The 25321-nt window shown below is 48.0% G+C and overlaps 1 protein-coding gene and 1 pseudogene across 2 annotated transcripts, besides 2 other annotated features; both read right to left on the minus strand.

The window, feature by feature from the left end:
* PRSS50 (serine protease 50) lies at nucleotides 436-6188 on the minus strand. Its single transcript, NM_013270.5, has 6 exons — nucleotides 6038-6188; nucleotides 5756-5956; nucleotides 3854-4016; nucleotides 2537-2820; nucleotides 1220-1386; nucleotides 436-801 (listed from the first exon to the last, which is right to left on the minus strand). Exons 1-6 carry the CDS (start codon nucleotides 6141-6143, stop codon nucleotides 565-567), a joined length of 1158 nt encoding a protein of 385 aa, NP_037402.1. The 5' UTR covers nucleotides 6144-6188; the 3' UTR covers nucleotides 436-564.
* Nucleotides 2246-2495: an enhancer, noted in NCBI's record as "active region_19798". NCBI's record gives its function as "activates an Ori minimal core promoter by ATAC-STARR-seq in GM12878 lymphoblastoid cells {active_cell/tissue: GM12878}" and the evidence as "EXISTENCE:reporter gene assay evidence [ECO:0000049][PMID:35858748]".
* Nucleotides 6274-6343: a silencer, noted in NCBI's record as "silent region_14293". NCBI's record gives its function as "represses an Ori minimal core promoter by ATAC-STARR-seq in GM12878 lymphoblastoid cells {active_cell/tissue: GM12878}" and the evidence as "EXISTENCE:reporter gene assay evidence [ECO:0000049][PMID:35858748]".
* Nucleotides 7902-24746, minus strand: PRSS46P (serine protease 46, pseudogene; annotated as a pseudogene). The gene is made up of 4 exons (NR_147121.1): nucleotides 24626-24746; nucleotides 22384-22561; nucleotides 21955-22214; nucleotides 7902-8322 (listed from the first exon to the last, which is right to left on the minus strand). The product of NR_147121.1 is annotated as a serine protease 46, pseudogene (transcript).
* Nucleotides 24747-25321: the final 575 nt, after the last annotated feature.

Raw genomic sequence — 25321 nt, forward strand, 5'->3', positions numbered from 1 at the left:
CTCCAGACAGGAGACAGAGACAGAGGGTCAAAGTTCACTATGGCTCTTTGGGGCAATGAAATGCTGTGTTCTAGCCTCTTGCCAGAAATCAGCCAAAGTCAAGGAAAGCCCGACTCCCACAGTTATCACAGAAAGAGCACCCACTTTCCAGCCCAGACAGCTGCACCCCAGCTGGGTCCTGGCAGCCCCAGCTTCAGCCTGGGCGGTATGTTCCAGGCCCCTCGATCATCTGACCCTAATATCACCCCTTCACACCCCCTCCACCTTCTGCGGGAGCCACCCCGAACCTTTGAATGGGGGAGATCCTGGAGGCTCTGCAATTTTCAGTGTAAACTGCCTGGAGTTCCCCACTTCACCCTCATCTGGTTCACCTGTGGACTCCCAACAGAGCAGGCCCAGGAAACGTGGGGCCTCTGAGGCCGGGGAAGAAGGAGGCATGGAAAACAGTAATGTTTAATTGAGCACCTCATCTCCACCCTGACTCTCAGGGCTGTGACAGCTGCACCCACAGCAACCTGGGCACGGAGGCAAGGGGGGCCCACAAGTGAGGGAGGGCACACAGAGTCAGAGGGCAGCAAGGAGGCTGAGGGGCAGTGGGAGTGCCAGGAGCAGGGTCCTGGATGGGGCTGGCAGGGCCAGGGCCTGCCCGTTGAGGCAGTCCCAGATCCAGTGTTGGTAGGAGGAGACCTGTAGGTAGATGGGTGGGGCCTCGCTCTTCTGGCAGCCTGCACCCCAGCTCACCAATCCCACCAGGTACCACGTGCCCTCCATGGAGCAGACCAAGGGCTCTCCAGTTAGCTCCTGTGGGAAGGGTTGGGGGAGTAAGGGTCAGGGAGGCCAGGCAAGGCCAGAGACGACCCAGCTCCAGGACAGGCGGGATGTCCTCACACCACACCTCCACAGTCCCCCAGTGCCAACATAGGTGAGAAGTGCTCCAGACCCAGGAGCTCTTCCTCAAAGGGTTTCATCCCCCACCTCTTAACACCCACCCTCCATCTCCCCACGGACCCCCCACTCCTCTCACCTCCAACAGCCATCCCCATTCCCAGCCCCCATCTGTTTCCTCCCAGTCTCCCCCGACATCCTCCATCCCCATATCCCAGAGTCCTGCCCACCCCCTTCCCTTCCCCTACCCAACCTCCACCGTTCCGCTCTCCCTCCCCAGATGCCTCTCCCCCAGGTGCCCCTGAAGGGGAGTGAGCGAGGAGAGGCCGCTCACATAGCAGAACTTCTCCCTGTGGGTGTCCTCCGCACACATCATCTGGGACTTGATGATCTGAACCAGAGTGGGGATTTTGGTGAAGTTGTGGTAGAAATTGTCACACTCTTTGTTGTTCAGGATGATGACTTCCTTCTCCTGAATGGTCCGGAACTGAGGCCACATGCCTGTGGGACAGGGCCCCATTTAGGCGCAGCCACTCACCGCTGCCCACTACCGCCAGCCTCACTCGTCCTCTCTCCACTGTTCCCCACGTCCCACCTTTTCTGCTTTAGCCACACACCTCTGCCCTCGTTCTAGCCCATACCCATCTAGGGCCCTCAACACAGAGCCCCCGGAGCAGAGTACCCCCAACCCAGCCTTGCCGGGCCTGCTCTCGCTTCCTGCAGTGCCCAGGCCACTGGGGCCCTTGACACCACCTCCACCACACTCGGCCTCTTGGCTTTTGCCACTCCTTCCCTCCTGAGGGCCTGCCAAGCCTTCCTTCTCTTCAAGCATCCCTTCTCCCACAGGCCTCTTCCCTGCTGAGCCTTCCCAGACCCCTCCATGGAGGCCAGGCACTGCTTCTTCCTTCTGCCTCCCTGAGTAGTGTGTCCCTGTCCCTGGCCTAAGCTCCTGGGAGACAGGAGACAGGCCACAGCAGGGATGACAAAGTCACTCCCAGGTCCTCCCACATGGGCTGAAGCCCCCTTGAGCTGTTTTGAGAGTAAGTTGGTTCCTTGAGGCCACAGGGAAGGGCATCTCTCTTATGGGCTGGGGACCCCCTGAAGGAAGTAGACAGTTCTAGGGTCCCCTGGATGTTCCTGAGAGAACACACCTGCTCTCTGGGCCTTGCTCCTGAATTGGGACGACCAGGAGTTGAGGCCCACTGAGGGGAGGGGAAACCATGAGCTCCAGCTGCAGACGGCCCCTAGCCAGCCATGTGGGCCTTCTGGGCAGCATTTTACAACACAGAAGACTGCTCCCCCGACCTCAGGTGCTCTGCTGCAAGCTGCCGATGCCTGGGCAGTGGGTGTGGACTGTGAGGTATTACTCTGTGCCTCTCTGCCTTCAAGGAAGTTCTGTTTACATGCCCTGGCCTGACTCAGGATTCAAAGGCAATCAGGGTCCCCTGAGGCTGGAGCAGCAGTGAGGTGTTCCCCACGAGATCCTCAAGGGGAAGGAGACCTCAGAGATGAGAGCCTGGCAGGAAGGTCCCGGGAGCGGCAGGCTCCCTGGGGAAGGTGCCTCAGAAACATCCATCTGTGGTGGCACCCTGGCCTGCACCCACGTCCTTTCTCACAGCACCCGCCCTGGTCTGCAGAGGCTTTGACTCACCGTCAGCCTTGGAAAGTCCCCAGCCCGTCACAGTGCAGCGGGAATGGTCCTTCAACACATAGTCCGTGCCAGGCAGGCAGATGGGCCGCACGTAATTGCTGTACTTGAGTTCCTGCTTGAGCTTGAGGAGGCCGATGTCGTTGGCCTGGCCCACCCAGGACCAGAACCGCTGGGCCCGGTACCTGCTATGCATGATGACCTGGAGCACCGGGACATCGGAGGCGGTCTGCGTCATCTGGTCAATCCACGGACTCCCCACCCTCACTGAGTAGATAACATCACGCCTAGGGGGGCCGTGAGGGGAGGCCATGATCAGCTCCAGGCCCCCTGCCCCAGCCTCCAGCCTGGGCCTTCCCCCACTCTGCTGCCCTCCCAGAAGATCCAGGAGGGGCCACCCACCCGCTTCAAGCCCCCTGAGCCTACTCCTCACCACAGACATGAACAGGGCCCTGCACACTCACTGTGTGGTCCAGTCCTCAAGACCCTTCATTTTATGGAGGGGGAAACTGAGGCTCAGAGAAGCCCAATGAACCACTCAGGGCTGCATAGCTAGGAGGCAGTGGAAGGGATGCGGACCCAGTTTTCTCTGGTTCCAAACTCTACTCTCAGTCCATAGCATGGACTCTTTCACCCCATGCTGTGCCCTGGAGGAGGCAATTCTACTCCTTCCAGCTCCATGGAATGTGCCATGGCCTGGCTATCTAGCTGCGCACCCCGGGGTACCCCTTGGAGTCTGTATGTTGGCCCTTAGGCCTGGAACACATTTCACTTGTCAGCTCTCACAGCCAGCACTCCTGGCCCCAAAACATCAGAACACTCCCTCTTTTGTCCCCACACCAACCAGGCACCCTTGTGAGCATCTATCTTCCTTTCTGTCTCCCCCAACAAGCTGGAAGGAATGATCCATCCCTCCTCTGCCCCCAGTGTCCAGGCCAGGGCCTTGCTCAAAGAAGTGTCAGAGACGGTTGATTGAAGGGAGGAACAAGGATGTGGGTGCAAAGGGGGTGAAATGAAAGAACTAGGAGCTTCTTCCCGTGGAGAGGAGGCATGAGGCCAGACAAATGGCTTCTGAGCTTCCATTTCCCATCTGCGGAATGACTGCACGGGACTGAGAGGCCAGACGAGGGGAGCGAACGGTGGGACACTGAAAAGACTGGAGCTCTGAAGGAATTTTCAGGACTCAGCCTCCACCTGCTTGGAGCCCAGATGAGGCTGGGGCTGGGACTGTGGGCCCAGAACAGCTGGCAGGGAGGGGATGACTGGGCCCACAGCAGCTCCAAATACCTCTCCACCCACCCCACCTCAGCCTTGACTCACCAGATCAGGCAGTGGGCCACAGTCAGCACCCACTGGGAGGCAATGATGGTGCCGGCACAGATGTGTGTGCCATTGGCCCGCACGCTGACCATCCAGGGCCACCGCCGAGCCACGGCTTCTGGGTCCCTGAGGGTGGGGTCCTGCTCGTAGGAAAAGCCACAGGCTGAGGAGGAAGGTGAGAGCTTGATGAGGGATGGATCTTTCCCTGTCCCTCCCCTCCCCCAGCCTGACCTCGTGCCTCTCCAGCCACTGGCCTGCACCCATCCAGGGGTGCTCCCTTTTCACCTGTCACCATGGAATGATGCTGTCCACATGTGGACTGGAGTCTCATGCCTCAGAAGGGTCCAAGCACTGCCCAGATATCTCTCTCCCTGTTCCCACAGCCCGGGCCCTAGAGCATCCCCAGCCGACCAGCCCAGTGTACCACTGGCCCCTCTGCCGTCACCAACACACTCTCAGCTCCAATCAGATCCTTCACTAACTTGTTCTCATTTCCACCTGGTTCCACCCTCACCATGTCCCCTACTTCAGCCAAGGCAGAGCTCTCTCCCTCCTCTGGGAACCCCTTTCTGTGGCTCAGTGAGAGGAAAGTGGATGCCCCAACAGAAAAATGGGCATAGTCCAAGGAGAAAATCCCAGTAGCCAATGACCACAGAAGCTGCTCCGCCCTTAGTCTGCAGGGAAATGCAGACTGCTTCTTCTTCTTTCCTCTTCTTCTCTCTTCCCTTTTCCTCCTCCTCTGATGAGGTCTTGCTCTGTCACCCAGGCTGGAGTGCAGTGGTATGATCATTGTTCACTGTAACCTCAAACTCCTAGGCTCAAATGATCTTCCCACCTCAGCCTCCTGAATAGCTGGGACTACAGGCACACACAACCACACCCAGCTAATTTTTTTATTTTTTAATTTTTTGGAGAGATAGAGTCCCACTATGTTGCCCAGGCAGGTCTCAAACTCCTGACCTCAAGTGATCTTACTGCCTCAGCCTCCAAAAGCGCTGGGATTATAAGCATGACCCACTACCTCCAGCCTGAAAATGCAGATTTCAATCATGATGAGATTCTGCTCTGTACCATCCGCCTGGCAAAAACGCAACATCTGTGACACCGAGTGTCAGTGAGGATTATCACCCAGAATGCCTACCCACGGCTGGTGGGAGTGCTCACTGCTGCAGCCGCTTTGGAAAACAATTTCTCTAGATTGAAGATGCACATATCCAACATCTCAGGAGTCCCATTCCTAGTGTTTTCCAAATGGATTCGTGGATTGTAAATGTAAGTGGGCCGTGACCAGCCTTTTTAAAGGATAACATAGGCAAGAAAACATCGGCATGCACAGCACAGGGTACTGGAAGTCCTGTTTGGGTGACTTTCTGTGGCAGTTAAATGCTATGTGCTGAGTCCCAGTCTTATGTGGGTCTGTTAAACATGCCTGAAAGCCACTGGGCAAGAGAACGTCTTACGTGTGCACCCTGGAGACACCACAGGAAGGCTCACACAGCCTGGCCCTGAAAGCTGTGCTGGAGATCCCAGAGGTCCCTGGCTGGGAGCCTGGGTCAGAGGCATGATGGGTGTCAGGGCCTGGAGCAGGGTGAGAGGCCACCTGCCCCACAGCCAGCTCAGGCGAGGCGGGAACACACAGCCGGCCCCAGGCCCCTCTGACTTTCCTGCCCCCTACCTCAGCAGGAGGGGAGGCCTGTGAGGACAAGACACCCAGAGCTCTGGGCCTCCAGACAGGACCAGGCCTGACCCACAGGTGTTTAGTGCTCAATGAACACCTGTAGAAGGAGGCGCTCCTCTATCCTGCTCGCCCCCGTCCCTTCTGCTCCCCTAGCCCCAGCCAAGGTCCTTAAGACTCCTCTGTCACCCTCCTTGCCCCACGGAGTCTACACCCCTGGTACTCACAGCGGTATGGGTCGACTTTGCCTTCAGAAACTGGGAATTGGGTCTCCATGGTGGTCGAGGGCAGTGTCTGGGTGGTCGGGGTCTGCCAGAGAAGGCGAGGCCGGCTGGAAGGACAGGTGGCCTTGGGGACACACTGGACGCTCTGGTCGGCGGGATCAGCAGTGGACAGCGCCCCCGGGGCTTCCCCTGCGCCCCAGCAACCTGCGGAGGACGTCGAGCGGATTAGAGGTGGAAGGCGAGGGCCGCGTCAGGCGGGTGGGGTAGGGATCGGGAGGGACTCACCTGCAGACCTCAGCAACAGAAGCAGCAGCAGCAGGGCACCGGCGCGGGAGGGGGCAGACGTCCGGGGGCGCTGCCCGCGCGCGACGGTCTGGCACCAGCGACCCATCCCGGGGTGGCAGCCGACTGCGTCTCTCCGGAAGGCGCTCCCAGTGCCGCCCCCACGACGGCGCCCCCTGTTGGCCGCATGCCGCGGCCTCTGGTGAGCTGGGTGGGGATGCTCCTAGTGCCCCGCCTGCGTGGCGCCCCCCAGGGGCCACCCGCCACGGCGCTCGTGGTGTCTGACCCGCAAGGGCGCCCCTAGTGACAGCCCTCCCTTATACCTCCCGGGCTGGGTACGCCCCGGCTGACTTCCCTCCTTGGCCCCTCCCTCTCCTCACTCCGCTGGTCCAAGCAGTCTCCTGGAGTCCCTCAACTTAATCTCGGCCGATTCTCAGACCTCCTCACCCTCGCAGCCCATTGCCCTGGACTGGCTCATGGTGTCACCCCTCCCGCAGTGAGATGAAGACCAAACCTCAGGGGCTGGCATCCAGGATCTCCAAGTGACCCTACTTTCCCTCCAGCCCCTCCAGTGGGGCTTTGCCCAAGGAACTGAAATTAAGCAGATAGATGTGTTTTAAATAATGATTTTGAAAGACTGCTTCATTCTAAGCAACTACACCCCACCCCCACCCCATTCAGCAGATGCCCTTGCCCCACAGATCCATCTGCTTAGGAAAGAGAGTGCAGGCAAAGGGTCCCTCCACAGAGGAACACTGGTGCTTACCATTGCGCCACTGTGGGATGAGGAGGTCACTTTGCATGTTACAATTTGGGGAACACATTGATGGTTCAGTGACACAGGAGGGTAATACATTTAAAAAGTCATGTGGGGTACTCAAAGCTGTTGGAAAATTCTAGCCTAATAGAAGATAAGGTGATCCAGCATTGTGGCATGCACCTGTCCCAGCTACTCTCAGCTACTCAGGAAACTGAGGCAGAAGGATCACTTGAGCCCAGGAGTTCGAGTCCAGCCTGGGCAACATAGCACCCCCATCTCTACAAGAAAATATTTTTTTCTAAGGTACGGTGAAAGTTAAATCAAGCCAGGATATTCTAACATGTGTCCAGGCTTGTGGTCTTGGGATACACACTTGAGCTGGCCAATCCATGCTCCAATCTCTGAAAAGACAGTAAATCACACCCTTCAGGTGCCCTAAGGGATAGGGGTGGCTGGTTGCTCAGCACCTGAGGACCACCAGGTCTGAGCAGCCCCTCATTCCTCACACAGGGGCAAGGCTCTGTCCTCAGCTTGGCTACCTCCAGTAGCCTTGCTCGTGCTGTAGAGTCTAATGGAGGTCACCAAGGCAGCTCAGGAGCTCAGGGCATAGTGATCTCACACATTCATTACCCAGGCAGGCACTCTGCCCTATCCCCACATCACCTACCTCTGCCAAAGAGGGAGGAGGAATTGGTCAGGCTCTGCAGACCCATGGAAGGATATGAAGGGTAGGGAGAAGCTAGTGGGTTCTGAAACATGGTCCATGGTTGTGGGTCTGTGATCTGGCCATGGTGAGTTACTTGGGAAGAGGCCAGGCCTCGCAGGAAGGCCTGAGGGAAAGTGTCTGTCACATACCCAGGGGAGGGCCATGGGGACCTGGGGATTACTGGATTGCTGGGATGACTAAGAAGGAGCTGCAGTCCCACATTTGGAAGAAGAGGGAGGGGAACAGTCTCCCAGGGTCACACAACAAGCACAAGACAGACATGGCATAAAGCTATCAGAGAAGGCTCAGCTTGAGAGAACAGCCAGGACTGCTTGGGGGTTAGGAAGGTTGTGAAGGGCTCTGGCCGAAGTCAGGAAGCAAGATGATCACTTGAGTGGCTCAAAGTTCAAAAGCATCTTCATTGAACAACAGAAAGTAACAGTGGCTCTCGGACCCTCCCCCTCACTCTGCCCTGCCATCCTGGGCAACCTCTCGTCTCCACTTCTGAGGGTAGAACAGAGGGGAGGGAGAAGCAGCCTCTGGGAGGGACTGTCCTTGAAACACCGCTCACAGGAGCCACAGGGAGCTCAAGGAGCCCAGTAGAATGTAGCCAGTGAGGAAAACTGGGCTCAGGAAGGCAGGGCCAGCCCTACTGATGAACCTTATGTTAGCAACCTCAGTCCTGATCCACTGGTTGAAGTGGGCAGTGCTGGTGTAGATACCTGGGAAGTGGCGCTGGCCACAACTAAAGCTCCAGCTTACCACTCCTATCTGAATCCAGGTCTTGTCCATTTGGCAGACAAGGGAGCTTCCAGAGTCAACCTGTAGAGAAAAGGAGGGAGGGCATAAGGATGGCAGCAGGAGGGCATCCCTGGCCTGAGCCCGCCCCTCAGGATGAGCTCTGTGACACATAAGCTCTGCACTGGACCACGCCAGCCTCTGTCTTCATTTTCCTGCTAATTCTGACCCTAACTCCCCATCCCATCCCCTCCTCTGCCTTCCCCTTAAATCTTGGTGGTCTTTTACTTTCCTGAAATCCTGCTTGCAGAGTGAGCTGTTTGAAATGCAAACCAGTTCTCCTCTTTTTGTACAAACATGGGTTTACAGATAAGAATACTGTTTACAATGACATACAACAAAAGGTCATAGCTGTTATTGCTGCTGATAGTGGGTTTCTTATGATTTTTTAAAACTTTCTTTACACTCTTCTGTAATGTCAGAAAATTTTATAAATCAGAAAAACCACTCAATTACATTTATTTTTAAAACATAATGCACACCAAGATTTACAGGACATAATCTAATGAAGAATGCAAAAGACTCTTAAGGAAAAAAGTAATAAACTGTGCCTAAGAATATAAAAAAAAGACCTACATCAATGTATAGATATACTGTTGTTCAAAGCTGAGATAACTTAAAGCAATGTGAAAATGTCAATTCTCAGCATTTGGCTTCCTGCAGTATGGAAGACAAGATACCCTAACCAAATTTATTGCTAAAGATACCTACAAATGTGAGACTTTTTTTAAAATTATGATTTTAAATGCATGGGTAAGCTAGCAAGAAAATAAAGACTCTTCAAAGTCCAAAACCTAAATGAGGGTTAGAATATAGAGGTCAGTAGAGCCCAGAAGACAGCTTTTGTTCCAAGGCCCTTTGTCAAACCCAGCAAAACTGAGCTTCAGTTTTCATAGCCTTGTTCATGGGCTCAGGAGACAAAAGACAAAACCCAGGGCCTAACTAAGGGGAGGAGCCTCAGAGTAGACCCCTGCAAAAAGTTATGCCTTCAAAAAATGACCACACCCTCACAGTGAGGGTGAACTGGAAACACTCTCGTATGAACTCACAACATGACTTCACACTGTCTGGGTGGTTCAAAAAACCTGAACCAAGGATGGATGTGGTTTAAAGTGGTGCTGGGATATTCACAATAGCAAAGACATGGAATTAGCCTAAATGCCCATCAAGGATAGACTGGATAAAGAACATGTGGTACATATATACCATGGAATACTACGCAGCCATAAAAAAGAACATGATCATGTCCTTTGCAGGGACATGGTTGCAGCTGGAGGCCATTATCCTTAGCAACCTAATGTAGGAACAGAAAACCAAACACCACATGTTCTCACTTGTAAGTGGGAGCTAAATGATGAGAACTCATAAACACAAAGGGAACAGACACTGGAGCCTACTTGATGGGGGAGGGTAGGAGGAGGGAGAGGATCAAGAAAAACAACTAATAGGTACTAGGCTCAAAACTTGGGTGATGAAATAATCTGTACAACAAAGCCCCATGACACAAGTTTACCTGTGTAACAAACCTGCGCTTGTACCCCTGAACTTAAAAGTTAAAAATAAGTAAGTAAATAAAGTGATGCTGGGTTGGTCATACCTGCAGGCACCTGGCTGAAGCAAATGTAGATTCTGTCTGGAGGAACCTATCTTTCAAGCCACACCTCAGAGTAGTCGTATAATTAACACTCTAAGGAGCATGTCCTCCCTCCTCAAAACATTGCACACCACACAAGGAAGTTGAGGCACCATGAGCAAATGTCAGCCAGCAAAATAACTGGGAGCAGTCAGAGCCTTTGAGGCTTGAGATACAGGAATGGCCACGGGGAAACTTTAACATGCCCATAAGGGCACTCTTTCTTAGGCTTGCTGATGGGTACGTGGATGTTGCTAATGTTATTCTTTATTCTCCATATATGTTTTATAAATATCCTTTTGTCTATTCAATACAGAGTAAAAGCAATTAAAAATCATAACAATGTCAGTTCTCCTTACATTAGTCTCTCAAAGCAATTCCAATTAAAACGCCAGCAGGGTTTTCTCAGGAACTTGACAATCTGATTCTAAAATTGATATTGAAGGATAATAGTCCTTAAATTCTAGGATGGTTTTGAGAAAGGGGAGAAAATTGGAGAGTCAGGTTGGGGGCAGATTTGACCTACCAGATAGTTACACATATTTTAAAGCTATAATTATAGAAATATAATTAAAGATGAGAAAGCTATAATTATAGAAATAGTGGGGTACTGGCATAGAAACAAAAAAAATAGCCCAGTGGGGGTCGCGGAGAGCCCGTAACCTGATGCCTATCCAGGAGGACACTTGACACATGTCACACAAAGCATCACGTCTGCGGGAAATGAGGGCTCTGCGGTAGATGGTGGCAACATTGGCTCACCAGAAGGAGAAAAGCGAAGTTGTATCCTACCGTAACAAAACTTCAGAGGAATTAAAACTCTGAATGTGAAAAGTAAAAATGATAAAGCTAATTAAAACATATAAGACCAGCACAGTGGCTCACACCTGTAATCCCAACACTCTGGGAGGCCAAGGTGGGAGGATCACTCGAGCCCAGGAGTTCAAGACCAGCCTGGTCAACATAGTGAGACCCTGTCTTCACAAAAATGAAATTAGGCAGGCATGGTGGCACACACCTTAGTCCCAGCTACTCTGGAGGCTAAGGTGGGAGGATCGCTTGAGAGCAGGATTTCCGGGCTGTCGTGAGCCATGATCATGCCGCTGCCCTCCAGCCTGGGCAACAGAGCCAGACCCTGTCTCTAAAATAAAAAATAAAACCAAAACCAAAATGCATATAGGACCATGTTTTTATGACTTGGGATGAAGCATATTTTTAAAAATAAGATTCAAAACCCACAAACTGCTGGGTGCAGTGGCTCACACGGGTAATCCCAGCACTTTGGGAGGCTGGGGTGGGAGGATCTCTTGAGCCCAGGAGTTCAAGATCAGGCTAGGCAACATAGTGACACCCCATGACTACAAAAAATTTAAAAATTAGTTCCAGCTACTCAGGAGGCTGAGGTGGGAGGATCACTTGAGCCCAGGAGGTTGAGGCTGCAGTGAACCATACCACGCCACTGCGCTGTAGCCTGGGTAACAGAGCAAGACTCTGTCTCAAAATAACAAAACAAAAACAAGCGAACAAAACAAAACTCACAAACCTGAAGAAATGTGTCAGGCCTGATTACATCAAAACTAAGGTTATCTGTTCAGTAAAGGACACCAAATCTCAATGAAGACTGATGAATTAAGATAGGGCTCTGTCTAAAACAAACCAGAGGTCAATATTGAACATATCTAAGGACCTCTTGAAAATAACAAGCAGACCGGGCGCGGTGGCTCATGCCTGTAATCCCAGCACTTTGGGAGGCCGAGACGGGTGGATCACGAGGTCAGGAGATCGAGAGCATTCTGGCTGACACGGTGAAACCCTGTCTCTACTAAAAATACAAAAAATTAGCTGGGCGTGATGGCGGGCGCCTGTAGTCCCAGCTACTCGGGAGGCTGAGGAGGGAGAATGGCGTGAACCCGGGAGGCAGAGCTTGCAGTGAGCCAAGATCGCGCCACTGTACTCCAGCCTGGGGGACAGAGCAAGACTCTGTCTCAAAAAAAAATAAGAAAAGAAAATAACAAGCAGAGTGAGTTGGGGGAGATGTGAGGCTTCCATGGCCTCACCATGGAGATTACACCAGGCCAGCTTCCTGATCTCCTAGCAGGGCAGGGAACCCCATCCCCAGGAGCACCAGAGAGTGGGGGGCTCCTGAAGTGAGGTTTAAATTTAAATAGAAACTTCTAATGGCACAAGGCATTTCATAACTGAAAGTGACTCAAAATTATGAGCTCTGCCCAAAATGACGTTTGGGGAAGAAAGGAAAATTTGACATAGGATATGTGGGGGCAATTATTTGAAAGAATAAAACCATTTAATGTGAATACCTTAACAAATTCAGATGCCTCAGTAAACAACTACAGGAGGAGATATGCAGCACAATATAATTTATACCAACTAAAACACACACAGCAGCACTATGCATTCTTCAAAGACACAGATATCTTTAATTTCACTTTATTATCATTATGATTATGATTATTTGAGATGGAGTCTTGTTCTGTCACGCAGGCTGGAGTGCTGTGGTGCGATCTTGGCTCACTGCAACCTCCACCTCCTGGGTTCAAGTGATTCTCCTGTCTCAGCCTCCCGAGCAACTGGGACTACAGGCGCGTGCCACCACGCCCAGCTAATTTTTGTATTTTTAGTAGAGATGGGGTTTTGTCATGTTGGCCAGGCTGGTCTCGAACTCCTGACCTCAGGTGATCCACCCACCTTGGCCTCCCAAAGTGCTGGGATTACAGGCCTAAGCCACCGCGCCTGGCCTAATTACACATATTAGACAGATTTCAGTTGATGTTCTTTTGCGGGGAAGGGCAAATGGAAGATGCAGGAGAAAATGAAGCCAGTGATAATCACACCAGCAATGATAGTGTGAGGGCCCTTGCCTGAGATAGGACTGATGGGACTCTAGGGGCCCAGAGAAAGTAAGAACATGAGAAAAGAAGAGAGAGAGAGAGATCCGCTGTAGGTAAGCATTCTCTCACCTCAGTGAAATAAAACCAGAGTTTAGTAACAAAATGTGAGTCACTCCATCAACAGGAAAAAAATAACTTTCAAAACGTTAAAGTAAAAACGAAATCTACAATTAGAATGTAGAGTAAAGAGAGCATCACGTATTGCACAGGATGTGGGCCTAAACTGCACACAGATTGTCCTGGTCTAAAGTACTGTTAATATCAAGCAAGAGAGAATAAAAATAAATTATTTGTTATTATCATCAATTATCACTGCACATTCAGCTCAAGACACTTGAAAAGGAATTAATAAAGACAAAAAGAGGATAGTTCATGTGTTACAAAGCAGAAAAATCATAGACTTGAGAAATAAAAATCAATAGCTTATTCTTAAAAAACAACAAGGCTGGGCACAGTGGCTCACGTCTGTTATCCCAGCACTTTGGGAGACTAAGGCAGGAGGATTACTTGAGCTCAGGAGTTCCAGACCAGCCTGGGCAAAACATAGTGAAATCCTGTCTCTAAAAAAAATTTAAAAAATTAGCTGGGCATAGTGGCACACGCCTGTAGTCCCAGCTTCTCAGGAGGCTGAGGCAGAAGGATTTCTTGAGGCCATGAGTTCAAGGTAACAGTGAGCTATGATCACACCACTGTACTCCAGCCTGGGCAACAGAGTGAGACCCTGTTTCAGACAAAACAACAACAAGAACAACAAAACAGATAAGCACCTTGTGACTCTTACCAAGAAAAACAGAAAGAGAAGGAAAAATGGAAACACTTCATGATTTGAGTAGAAAATAAACTAGAACACATCCAGGGAAAATATACTTTATCAGAATCTCAAGACTGTTGACAATTTCCTCTTTGTGGATTTACACTCTGGATGAAATGACCTTTTTCTATGAAACAGAAATCATTTAAACAAATTTAAAGAGTGACAGAAAGCCCGACAAGTCCAATAACTATGGGTGAAACAACTTAAAATATTCCCCAAGAGCAACCACTCAAAGGAAAACAGGCTTATGTGGTTTCACAGGCAACTGCTATCCAGCGTTCAAGAAGGAGATAATTTGTGTTATTTCAAATGTTCCAGAACATGAACAAATATTTTTCAAGTGAAGCATCGTCCTGATACTATCACTTGACAAAGGGGTGTCTTTCTCTCTACATACCTTAAAGTGGAGCCCAGCGTCCCTGGAGGAAAAAGTAAAAAGGTTGTGTGCATTGTGCTGTGTGGACTGTGCCACGTGGTACCATTTGTTCCCCGGGCCCAGACCTTTCTTAAGCCCAGTGTTATCCATGTCTGGCCCAGAGCCCAGCATACGGTGTCTGTTGAGTGAATAAATAAATTAAAGTGTGCTCCACAAAAAGATATTATGAATCTGAATCCAACAGATGAATGAAACAAAAGTACACCATAAGCAGGGAGGAATGATCTTGGAATGCAGGGCGCATGGACATGAGGAATCTGTTTAGGGAACAGACTCTGCATCCTGAGTTAGAGCAGAGAGTCAGAAAACATGTGTATAAAGGAGAATGTTCTTTCCTGAAATCAAATGCTGTGGTCAAACAGAAAGGAATGGCTCTCCCCTCAACAGATGACAGGCCAAATCACCACCATGGCATGCTTCAGGGTGAAGTGTAAGAAGCACTTCCCATCAAAGTGGGCAGCAAGAGAAAACACAGCCATGACTCTAGGTTGTTTTGGGGAGAGAGGGGGACTCAAAACAATAAAAAAGTAAAACACAAATAAAAGAGGTGAAATCGTTACTAATTACAACTCATATGAGCATAGGCCTAGAAAGCTCAAGAGTCCACTAAAAATTCTTCGATATAATAAAAGAGTCAAGCAAGCTGAACTCCCAGATATCTTCAACAAGAGGGGGAGTCTGGAGGATGGAAATGAAGAAAGCAAAAATGCAGGAAGTCTCTGGCCCCCTGCTAAGGAGGCTGTAGACACTGATTAACTACGTGACAATTCAATTTTAAATATATATGTGGAAAATACAAGGTGACCAATAGCAGAAGGAAATGTACATACGTAACTTCTAAACCGCTAGAGGATAAAAGTAGAGTGAAGAAAAAAAAATCAAACCAAAATGTAAGGTGAGGGAACAAAAAAAATCCCCAGTCTTCTTGGTAAATAGATTAAAGAACAATCTCTCAGATGTGTTGAAAAATAATAGCATCCAGCTTTGTATTGTTTACAAGAGATACACCTAAAACTAAATGACACACTGTCTCATGGGAAATAATAATTTTTCTGGAATACGGTTCTGAATATTTGCAATTACACAAAAGAAAGAAATAAGAGGAAGACTTACAGGATTTTATTTTAGGAAAGAACGCTCAGCTTTATAAATGTGTTTTCTGACTGTATGCTCTAACTCAATGTGCAGTCGATTCCCTGAACAGATTCTTCACGTCATGCACATACACATTGGCAGGTGATGTGTCTGTGGTCCACTCAATTGAAGAGAATCAGCTAGGTCCAGGAAGGTTGCTTATTACAAAGTAAATACACAAAAATCTAAAATAAAAAAACAGAAAATACAACAAAAGAAAATATACCAGTCTGGGCACTGTTGCTCATGCCTGTAATCCCAGCATTTTGGGAGGCTGAGGAGGGCGGATCACCTGAGGTCAGGAGTTCGAGACCAGCCTGACCAACATGGTGAAACCCCATCTCTAATAAAAATACCAAAAATTAGCTGGGCATGGTGGCACACATCTGTAATCCCAGGTACTTGGGAGACTGAGACAGGAGAATGGCGTGAACCCGGTAATCGGAGGTTGCAGTGTGCCGAGATCACGCCACTGCACTCTAGCCTGGGGCCACAGAACGAGACTCTGTCTGAAAATAATTAATTAATTAAAAATATATATACACCACTCACAATAAGGACATAATATATAACATTTAGGAATAGACTCAGGAAGCAGCATGCAGTAAATACATGGAGAAAGCTACAAACTCCTGCTCTATAGACATAAAGAAATAGTGCAAAATAAAAAGTCTTTATTTCCCTAAAAGGATCTATCAATTTCCACCAAAATCCCCATGTGACTTTCTTTTTGACAACTTTATTCTAAGACTGTGAAAAGGAACGTGGGAGAACAGCAGGTAAATTCTTTAAAAGATGGAGAATGAAGGAGGACTTGCATTACCACATAAAAAAGAATTCTAAAGCTACAATAATTTTCAGAGTGGTGGCAGCATAGAGATGTAAATGGTAGGAAGACAACAAAATAGGGTGGGAATTTAGAATACAATAAAGGGGGCATTTCTAATTCATAGCCAAAAAAACAAGTATTCAACAAAATATTTTTATATAACAGGCTACCCATTTGGAGAAAAATAATACTGAACTTCCTCTCTCAATCATCCAGATGAATCAAAATTTAAAGTATTTAAAGAAAAGAATTAGAAAATGATGAGTAAATAATTTTATAATCTTAGGACAGGAAAGGTATTTCTTTGTTGTTGTCATTGTTGTTGTTGTTTGAGTCTCGCTCTGTCGCCCAGGCTGCAGTGCAGTGGCGCGATCTCGGCTCACTGCAAGCTCCGCCTCCCAGGTTCAGGCCATTCTCCTGCCTCAGCCTCCCGAGTACCTGGGACTACAGGGGCCCACCACCACGCCCGGTTAATTTTTTTGGGGGGATTTTTAGTAGACACGGGGTTTCACCGTGTTAGCCAGGATGGTCTCGATCTCCTGACCTCGTGATCCGCCCACCTCGGCCTCCCAAAGTGCTGGGATTACAGTCGTGAGCCACTGCGCCCGGCCAAGATAGGAAAAAAAAACCTAAAATCATGGAGGAAAATAACGATAGATACAAACACATAAAAATTTTACATAACCTTATGGGAAAAAAAACCTACACCAGAAAAAAAGGGTAAATGAGGTACAAATAGGGTAAAATATTGTAAAGCATTTTACAATGGGTTAAAACTTCCAGTAACCCAAAGTTTTGGGGTAAATTTGTATTCTGAAATAATTTGAGACTTTCAGAAAAGTTGCAAGTATAATATTTTACCCAGATTCACTAATTTTGATGTTTTACCATATGTTTTATGTCTCCAAATGTATGTATACATATACACATATATATATAAATGCTTATGAGCCATTTGAAATTAAGCTGAAAGAGACATAATGCTCCTTTACCACTAGTTACTACAGAATAGAATATCCAGAGTTTTTGTAAATCAACAAAAACAAAAGTAGTTTAATAGAAGAACATGGGCAAAGGACGTGGAAAAGTGTAAATGGTACATTAAATGAAGCAAGCATTTTATTTGGACTTCCTTTGTTCTTTTAAAATTGATTTAGAAGGTGAGGTTTTTTCCTTGACCCCTGGTAAAAACTTGGGCAGAACCAGAACATTTTGCCCACTGTGGTTAACGTAATCGTAATTGCCATGATTATACCAAGTGTCATATGAACATCTCACTTCAGAAATCAGAATATTCATTTCCATATAATAATCACAATGTTAGACTTGATTTAAAGTAAAACTCCCCATTGCCATCAGGGCTTTAGCAAGTAGGAGGCTTCCCTCCCTGTAGCTTCCACTCCTCCTACCCCATCTTACTAACCTGATCTTCCTAACCTGCCAAGGTAACAGCAGCAGAGTGAGAGGGAAAGAACTGTCTTAACCGCCCCCACCCCTCCCCTCCAGGCCACTGTGAGCTCTCTGAGCCTGGAGGGATTTAGAGCTGACTCTCCCCCTACCTTGAGGGGTACGCATCAGGCTTTCTGAGTGATCCTGCGGGTACCACTCCCAGTAGACTTGCAGTGTGGAACGGGCACCCCCAGCCTGCTCATCCCTATCCCCTTAAAGGGAGAAAGGTGAGCTCATAGATGCAGTTCTCTCCAGAGAAATTCTCCTCACAAAATCACCTCCAACCCTACCCTCTGGACCCTTTGATACAGACATGTAGCCAAATATCAGTCACACAACTCTTTGAATTCTGATACTTATTGTATTTTGATATCTTTATTGAAACTTCCTACTTATCCTATTAAACAAGCAATTTACAGAATTTCTCAATGTCATGAAATAACAACAAAAATATGATACAAGTTTTAGTCTACCAAAAAGACAAAAGTTAAAATAAAAATAATACCTAGTTCTGGTGATGATGCAGGAAAAGTCATTTATCTACTGTTGGTGTTAATATAAATGGATCAAATCTTTGGGAGGCTAATTTGCAAATATCTATTGAAATTTTAAATATATATACAACTGATTTTGTAATTACACTTCTAAAAAATTATTGTAGCTAAATGTTTGAACAAATGTGAAAAGGTATTCAATTTTTTTTTATTCTGGTATAGTAAAAAAATACTGAAATGAGCTCAAATATCTGTCAATAGAAGAATGGTTAAGTAGATTGTGGCATAGCCATATGAGAAAATTATTATTCAAGGAAGATGGAATATATTTATATGTATAGACCTAGAAAGGAGTCCAAGATATATTTTAAGTAAAAATTTAAAAGTTGGAGAATAAAATTATATAACAGTCCTTTATTAAAAATCATAACCAGAGGCCGGGCACGGTGGCTTACACCTGTAATCCCAGCACTTTTGGAGGCCGAGGTGGGTGGATCACCTGAGGTCAGGAGTTCGAGACCAACCTGACCAACATGGTGAAACCCCATCTCTACTAAAAATACAAATTAGTTGGGCGTGGTGGCGCATGCCTGTAATCTCAGCTACCTGGGAGGCTGAGGCAGGAGAATCACTTGAACCCGGGAGGCAGAAGTGCAGTGAGCTGAGGTTGTGCCATTGCACTCCATCCTGGGCAACAAGAGCAAAACCTCGTCTCAAAAACAACAACAACAAAAAAAATCAAAACCAGAAAAAAAAAAAAACTAATGTAGAATTTTATATGTATAGAAAGACATGTTAGGAATATAAACCAAACAATTTAGTGTAGAAATTTCTAGGTAGTTTGATTATAGGAGAGTCTCATTTTCTAATTTTGCACTTACGTATTACTTTTTAAACAAAATGTGTGCTTTTTTTTCAAAATCACAGAACATATTTTAAAATAAACTAGTGATGATGGAATCACAACAGTGAAAATTTAAGAGATGAATTTAAAGTTCAAATCAAAACTGATTTTATGATCTTAAATTCTTTAAACACAAAACTAGAAAGAGTAAACCTTCTCAGCATATTCCATATAATTGATACCACTTTAGAACTAATTTTAAGACAAGGAAACTGAGCTGGAAATCAATAACAACAACAAAAAAACCATGCATAGGTCAAAATAAAATCAAAATAGAAATTTTATAAAATATTGTGGCATGAAACTAAAGCCATACTTAGAGGGAAATATGTAGCCTCAAAAATTTGTATTGAGAAGGAAGAAAGAACAAAAATAAATTATGTAAGTGTCCAACTGAAAAAAACTATCCCTTGTGTTTACACAACCTTGATATATGAGAGAGGTAGTGACAGCCAGTGCAGGAAATGACTTTTTCAATAAATAGCATTAGGAAAATTGGTAGTCCACATGAGAAGATAAATAAAAATAGATTCCTATCTTACACCATTCCCAAAATGAATGCCACATGGTTTCAATACGTGAAAACCGTAATTTCCAAATTCTGAGGAAAAAAATATAGGAGAATGTCTTTATGACCTTGGGAAAAGGAATGATTAAATAAGACACAAAAAGCATAAATCAGAGACATGATATATTTGACTAAAATGAAACCTAAATTGCTGTTCAGCAAAGTACAGTACAAACATAATAAAAAGATACATGGGAAACTGGGAGAAGATTTTGCAGTATACACAATGAACATAGAACTTGTATCCAGAATATTAAAAAATAAAAAAAGAAAAAGGAAAACAATAGTAAAATATCCAAAGTATATGAATAAGTGCTCATAGAAGAGGAATCACAAATGGTGAATTAACATGTGAACTGCACAACCGCATTAGTAACTGGGGACGTGCACATTACAACCGCAACGGGTGCTATTTCCCGTCCATTGGAATGGAAAACATTTTATAGTCTGACAATACCAAACGCTGGCAAGAAATGGAGCAAGGAACTCTCAAATACTACTGTTAGAATATAAATTAATACGATCACTTTGGAAAACAATTTGACCATGACTATTAAAGATGAAGGTAAACATAGCCTATGACCCAGCACTCCTGTGCAGATACATCTTGCTGAGAAATTGTGGAACATGTAAATAGGGAGGTGTGTGTGAGAATACTTAGAGTAGCAGCAGAGTTTCTGATATGAAAAAATTGGAAACTCCCTCAATGTTAATAAACAAGAGCTTGGGTAAATTGCGGCATATTCACAAAAGAGAATATTGTAGAGCATTTAATGCATAAAACCTGCACGTATCCATATGAATAAATCTCAAAACCAATGTTGAATAGAAGGTGCAAGTGGCAGGTGGCAGAAGTATTCATTCTGTGCTGGCAGAATGAATGTCACTTATGCAAAACAGGTTCTGCCCGCACATGGCCCACATCTGGGCATGTAGCTGATGCCCAGAAGTGGTAAACTAACCTGAGAAGGACTGCCATCACTACCTTCACTGTGGACAGGGACAAGAGTATTTTACCCTTATTTTACAGGCTAAATGGAAGCCCAGGGGAAGGAGATTTTCTTTTCTTTTCTTTTCTTTTCTTTTTTCTTTTCTTTTTTTATTTTACTTTAAGTTTCGGATACATGTGCAGAACGTGCAGGTTTGTTACATAGGTATGGTGTGCCATGGTGGTTTGCTGCACCTATCAACCCATGATCTAGGTTTTAAGCCCTACATGCATTAGGTATTTGTCCTAATGCTCTCCCTCCCCTTGCCCCCTACCCTCCGACAGACCTTGGTGTGTGTTGTTCCCCTCCCTGTGTCCATGTGTTCTCATTGTGCAACTCCCACTTATGAGTGAGAACATACGGTGGTTAGGTTTTCTGTTCCTGTGTTAGTTTGCTGAAGATCATGGCTTCCAGCTTTATCCATGTCCCTGCAAAGGACACAATCTCATTCTTTTTATGGCTGCATAGTATTCCATGGTGTATATGTACTACGTTTTCTTTATCCAGTCTATCATTGATGGGGCTATTTAGGTTGGTTCTATGTCTTTGCTATTGTAAATAGTGCTGCAATAAACATACGTGGCATGTGTCTTTTTTTTTTTTTGAGACAGTCTCACTCTGTCACCCAGGCTGGAGTGCAGTAGCACAGTCTCGGCTCACTGCAACCTCCACCTCTTGGTTCCTCCTGAAGACTGTAGGGGGTACTTGGGGTCACTGAGGAAACAGAGAGCCAGCCTTGTCATCCCCTCTGCTTTTCGGCACATCCCCATCACAGAGTTGTCCACGTTTGCTAAGGTGGGAGGGAGGGCCATTTCCTGGGATGGTGATTGATAAAGGCCCCAGCCCACAGCCTAACTTTTGAAACAGCCCAGCTCATTAAAAAAGACTACACAAAAGTGTCCCAAGGGGCTTGGAGTGATATCCAGGCACCAAAGGACAAATAGGACAAGAGGGGATTTCTCCAGGAATTCAGGTTCCATGAGGGTGAAGAGTTCAGTTCTGCCCCATGGCCACCGGCAAGGTGCCAAGACCCTAGAGCCCCAAGACGGCACCCCCTGGAAAGCAGGCCCCCACAAAGCCTCCCAGATTCTAGGACCCAAGGAGAGCACCAACAGGGGCCGGACCTCCAGGAATTTGGGGGTACCTCAGGATAACCAGTACACAAGATGGATAGAGAAACCTCAATACCTCAGTATGTCCTGAGATCGTGGCCCTCATGCCATTAATGGGAACTCCATTAATAACCAAGAATTCACTTCCTGCCATGCTGCAGGGTAAGCACTTGGCATTTCATTTAACTTCACTTTGGGAACTGAGGTCCATGCAGGTCACATGTGTCTTTTACACTAGAGCACTGGGTACATCTTTGTATTAAGAGGTCAGGAAATGTTTGCTGCCTGAGTGAATGAGTGAATAAAGGAATGAATGAAGGAGCCCGTGATGGGGCTGTGTTCTGAGGAGGCGAGTGTCTTGTAACCTCTGCCAGCCTTCACTCACCTTTTTTCCCTGTAGTTCCCCAGCCGATTACCCAGCACATGCTTCCAATGGATGGCTTGAATTTGATGTTAGGGAGGCAGACAGGCTGGACGAAGGGGGACCACGAGATGGAGTCCCTGAGCTTTAGGAGGGCAATGTCCTGAGACATGAGATTGCTGAAATCCTTATGAATCACCATGCGAGTGAGCGGGAGCTGAGTGCTATTTTCTGGGCGCTGGTGGACTCCCACCATCACGGAGTACAGGCTGAGGTCCTTGAATCTGCAGGACCATGGGTAGGAGGCAGGTCGCCAATGGTAAGGCCATAAGTAAAGGAGGAGACAGGCCCTGAGCTCAGGACCACCCAGCCAGGCCCCCTGCTCCCAGATCCCTAGATTCACCAGGGACTCCCCAGGCCAGAAAGCAAAGTCCCCAGCCCCCGCTGACTGACCTCTGCAAGCAGTGCGCAGCCGTGAGGACCCACTGGTGGTGGATGAGGGAGCCACTGCAGATGTACGTGCCCAGGAAAAGGATGCTCACCTGCCATGGCCACTTGCCTACCTCTACCAGCTTCCCCTTCACCACCCTGCAGGACACGTTGGTCTGACCGCAGGCCCGGAGCCAGGGCCCTGAGGAAAGAGGATCTCAGGCAGCAAAGGGCAACCCTCACACCCCTGGACACAGCAGATTTGAGACAGAGAGAGCTGCCTTCCAGCCCTGTCATAAGCAGCCACTGCCACATGCACATGTGAGAAGGGGCTTTTCCCACTGCCTCAAAACTGGCAACCAGCCGGGCGCAGTGGCTCACACCTATAATTGCAGCACTTTGGGAGGCCAAGGTGGGGGGATCGCTTGAGGTCAGGAGTTCAAGACCTGCATGGCCAATATGATGAAACCCCATCTCTACTAAAAATACAAAAATTAGCCTGGCGTGGTGGCACGTGCCTGTAATCCCAGCTGCTCAGGAGGCTGAGGCAGGAGAATCGCTTGAACCTGGGAGGTGGAGGTTGCAGTGAGCCGAGATCGTGCCACAGCACTCCAGGCTGGGCGACGGAGCCAGACTCTATCTCAAAAAAAAAAAAAAAAAAAAAAAAAGGCAACCAAAGGCCAGGGTCAGCAGGTACCCCACATTCTAGAGTTCCCAAACAATGAGGACCAGACAACTCCTCCTGGGCTTGTTGTAAGCCATCACCCAGGACTCATCCTTGCCCGTAGTTTACACAAACAGATGGTTGGGGGAGAGAAGCAGAAGAGAGAATCACCACAGGGGCGAGCTGTCAGCCAGGGGATAGGTGATGGGGCACAAGTCGGCCAGGCTGCCTGTCCCCAGTGAAGAGTAATGTCACACTGCACTGCTCTAGGGGCCACCCATGCCCCTGGAGGTGCAGTCCTTGTGACCGTGTAGGGAAGTGAGTAGAGATGTGTGTCCATTCCCTCCTTGACTCTCACTGGCCCCAGCAGCAGGGGTGAGAAGAGAGCAGGCTGCACTGAACCAGGTGTGAGATGGAGATTTTAAACAGGCCCAGTCTGGATTGCTACAGGTATTTACTAACTAAACATCATAAAGGATAAGAAAGGGAGAAAGTCACACCAGTAATCACAGAGCTTTGGAAAGCCCAGGAGGGAGGATGGCTTGAGGCCAGGAGTTCAAGGCCAGCCTGAGCAACATAGCGAGATCTTATTTCTACAAAAGCAAAATTAATCAGGTGTGGTGGTGCACACCTGTAGTCCCAGCTACTCAGGAGACTGAGGCGGGAGGATCACTTGAGCCCAGGAGTTCAAGGCTACAGTGAACTAGGATTGCACCCTCCATTCCAGCCTGGGTGACAGAGCAAGACCCTGTCTCTAAAAAAATTTTAATCTTTTTTTTTTAAATATGGAACGCTTCACGAATTTGCATGTCATCCTTTTTTCACCCCCAAAGAGTCTATTGAACACAGGTATTGAATTCTGGCTACAGCACTCGCAAACCACTGAAGCTCTGTGAGTCTCAGTTTCTCACTGTGAAATGGGATGCTGGTGAAGCTCGCCTCACAGGGTGTTGCGACCTCACTCAGTCTCAGCCGCGCTGATACAGAGTGGGCACTAAGCCTCACTTCCTCATCATCGCAAGATGGGGTCTCCTATGACTGTGCCTCCCAAACAAGCTCACTCGTTCCATGGATGTTAGTGTTAGTGTTAGTGTTAGTCTGTTCCTTTTTTTTTTTTTTTTTTTTGAGATGGAGTCTCACTTTGTCACCCAGGCTGGTGTGCGGTGGTGTGATCTCAGCTCACTGCAACTTCCACTTCCCAGGTTCAAGCTGTTTTCGTGCCTCAACCTCCTGAGTAGCTGGGATTACAGATGTGCACCACCATGCCCAATTTTTGTATTTTTAGTAGAGACAGGGTTTTGCCATGTTGGCCAGGCTAGTCTCAAGTGATCCGCCCTCCTTGGCCTCCCACGGTGCTGGGATTACAGGCGTGAGCCACTGTGCCCACTGCGTTCCCCCATTTTTAATAAGGCTCTTCCCTCCTGTCATGGTCACCCTTGAAATTGGAACCGCCCTGACACCGTTTGGGTCCCCAGTCTGCTGAGGATGTACCACCCACCAGGACATGGACACACCAAGGCCCTTCAGGCATGAGGACAGCCCGACACAGGCACCCGGCAAACAGACCCCTCCAGCCTCCGTCCCATGCCCCTGAAGCCTTACCTTCAATAGACGGCTGATAATCTAATCTGGCAGAGGAAAGCGGAGATGTAAGGCTTTGAAGATCCCCCGGCCCACAGGCCATGGCAAGTGGGTATCTACTCCTCAATGCTCCTTCTAACGGATGTGGAGGCAGAGGGGATGGGGCACCTCTACTATGCCAAGATTCTAGAACTCATGCTTTGTGTGTTCATGACTGTGGGGAGTAGGCATCCGCCCCAAGGTTGGAGGCCTACCTGGCTGTGGCAGTCACAGGACTCTGAGAAGGAGGCAGTGTGGTCATGGCAAGGCCCTGCCAGGGCCACAAGGTGATGCTGCTGTCAGGAACCTCCCTGGAGTGGTACTCCCGGTGCTCGGCCCGTGACAGTGCCTCCTAGGCCCAGCTCTCTGCAGTGTACCCTATGTCCAGCCTTGGCCTTGATGGTGCCCCCAGTGTGTAGTTCTGAGCCTGTGACAGTACGATGTGCCTGGCTCGTGACAGTGCCTGGTACCTGGCCCATGAAGCACCCTAGTGCCCAGCCCAGGCTCCTTTGTGAACCCCCTCTCACGCCTCCCTGGAGGTGTGGAAACTGAGGCACTGAGAGGGAGATAACTAGTTCTTGTAGTATGTGATGTGATTGAGGTGGAACTGGAGGTTTCTTTTTTCCCTCAGGGTCTGTATTTTCTTTACTTTTCTTTTTTTTTTTTTTTCCAGACAGG

The sequence above is a fragment of the Homo sapiens genome, chromosome 3 (assembly GCF_000001405.40).
Source record: "Homo sapiens chromosome 3, GRCh38.p14 Primary Assembly".
NCBI classification, from domain to species: Eukaryota; Metazoa; Chordata; class Mammalia; order Primates; family Hominidae; genus Homo; species Homo sapiens.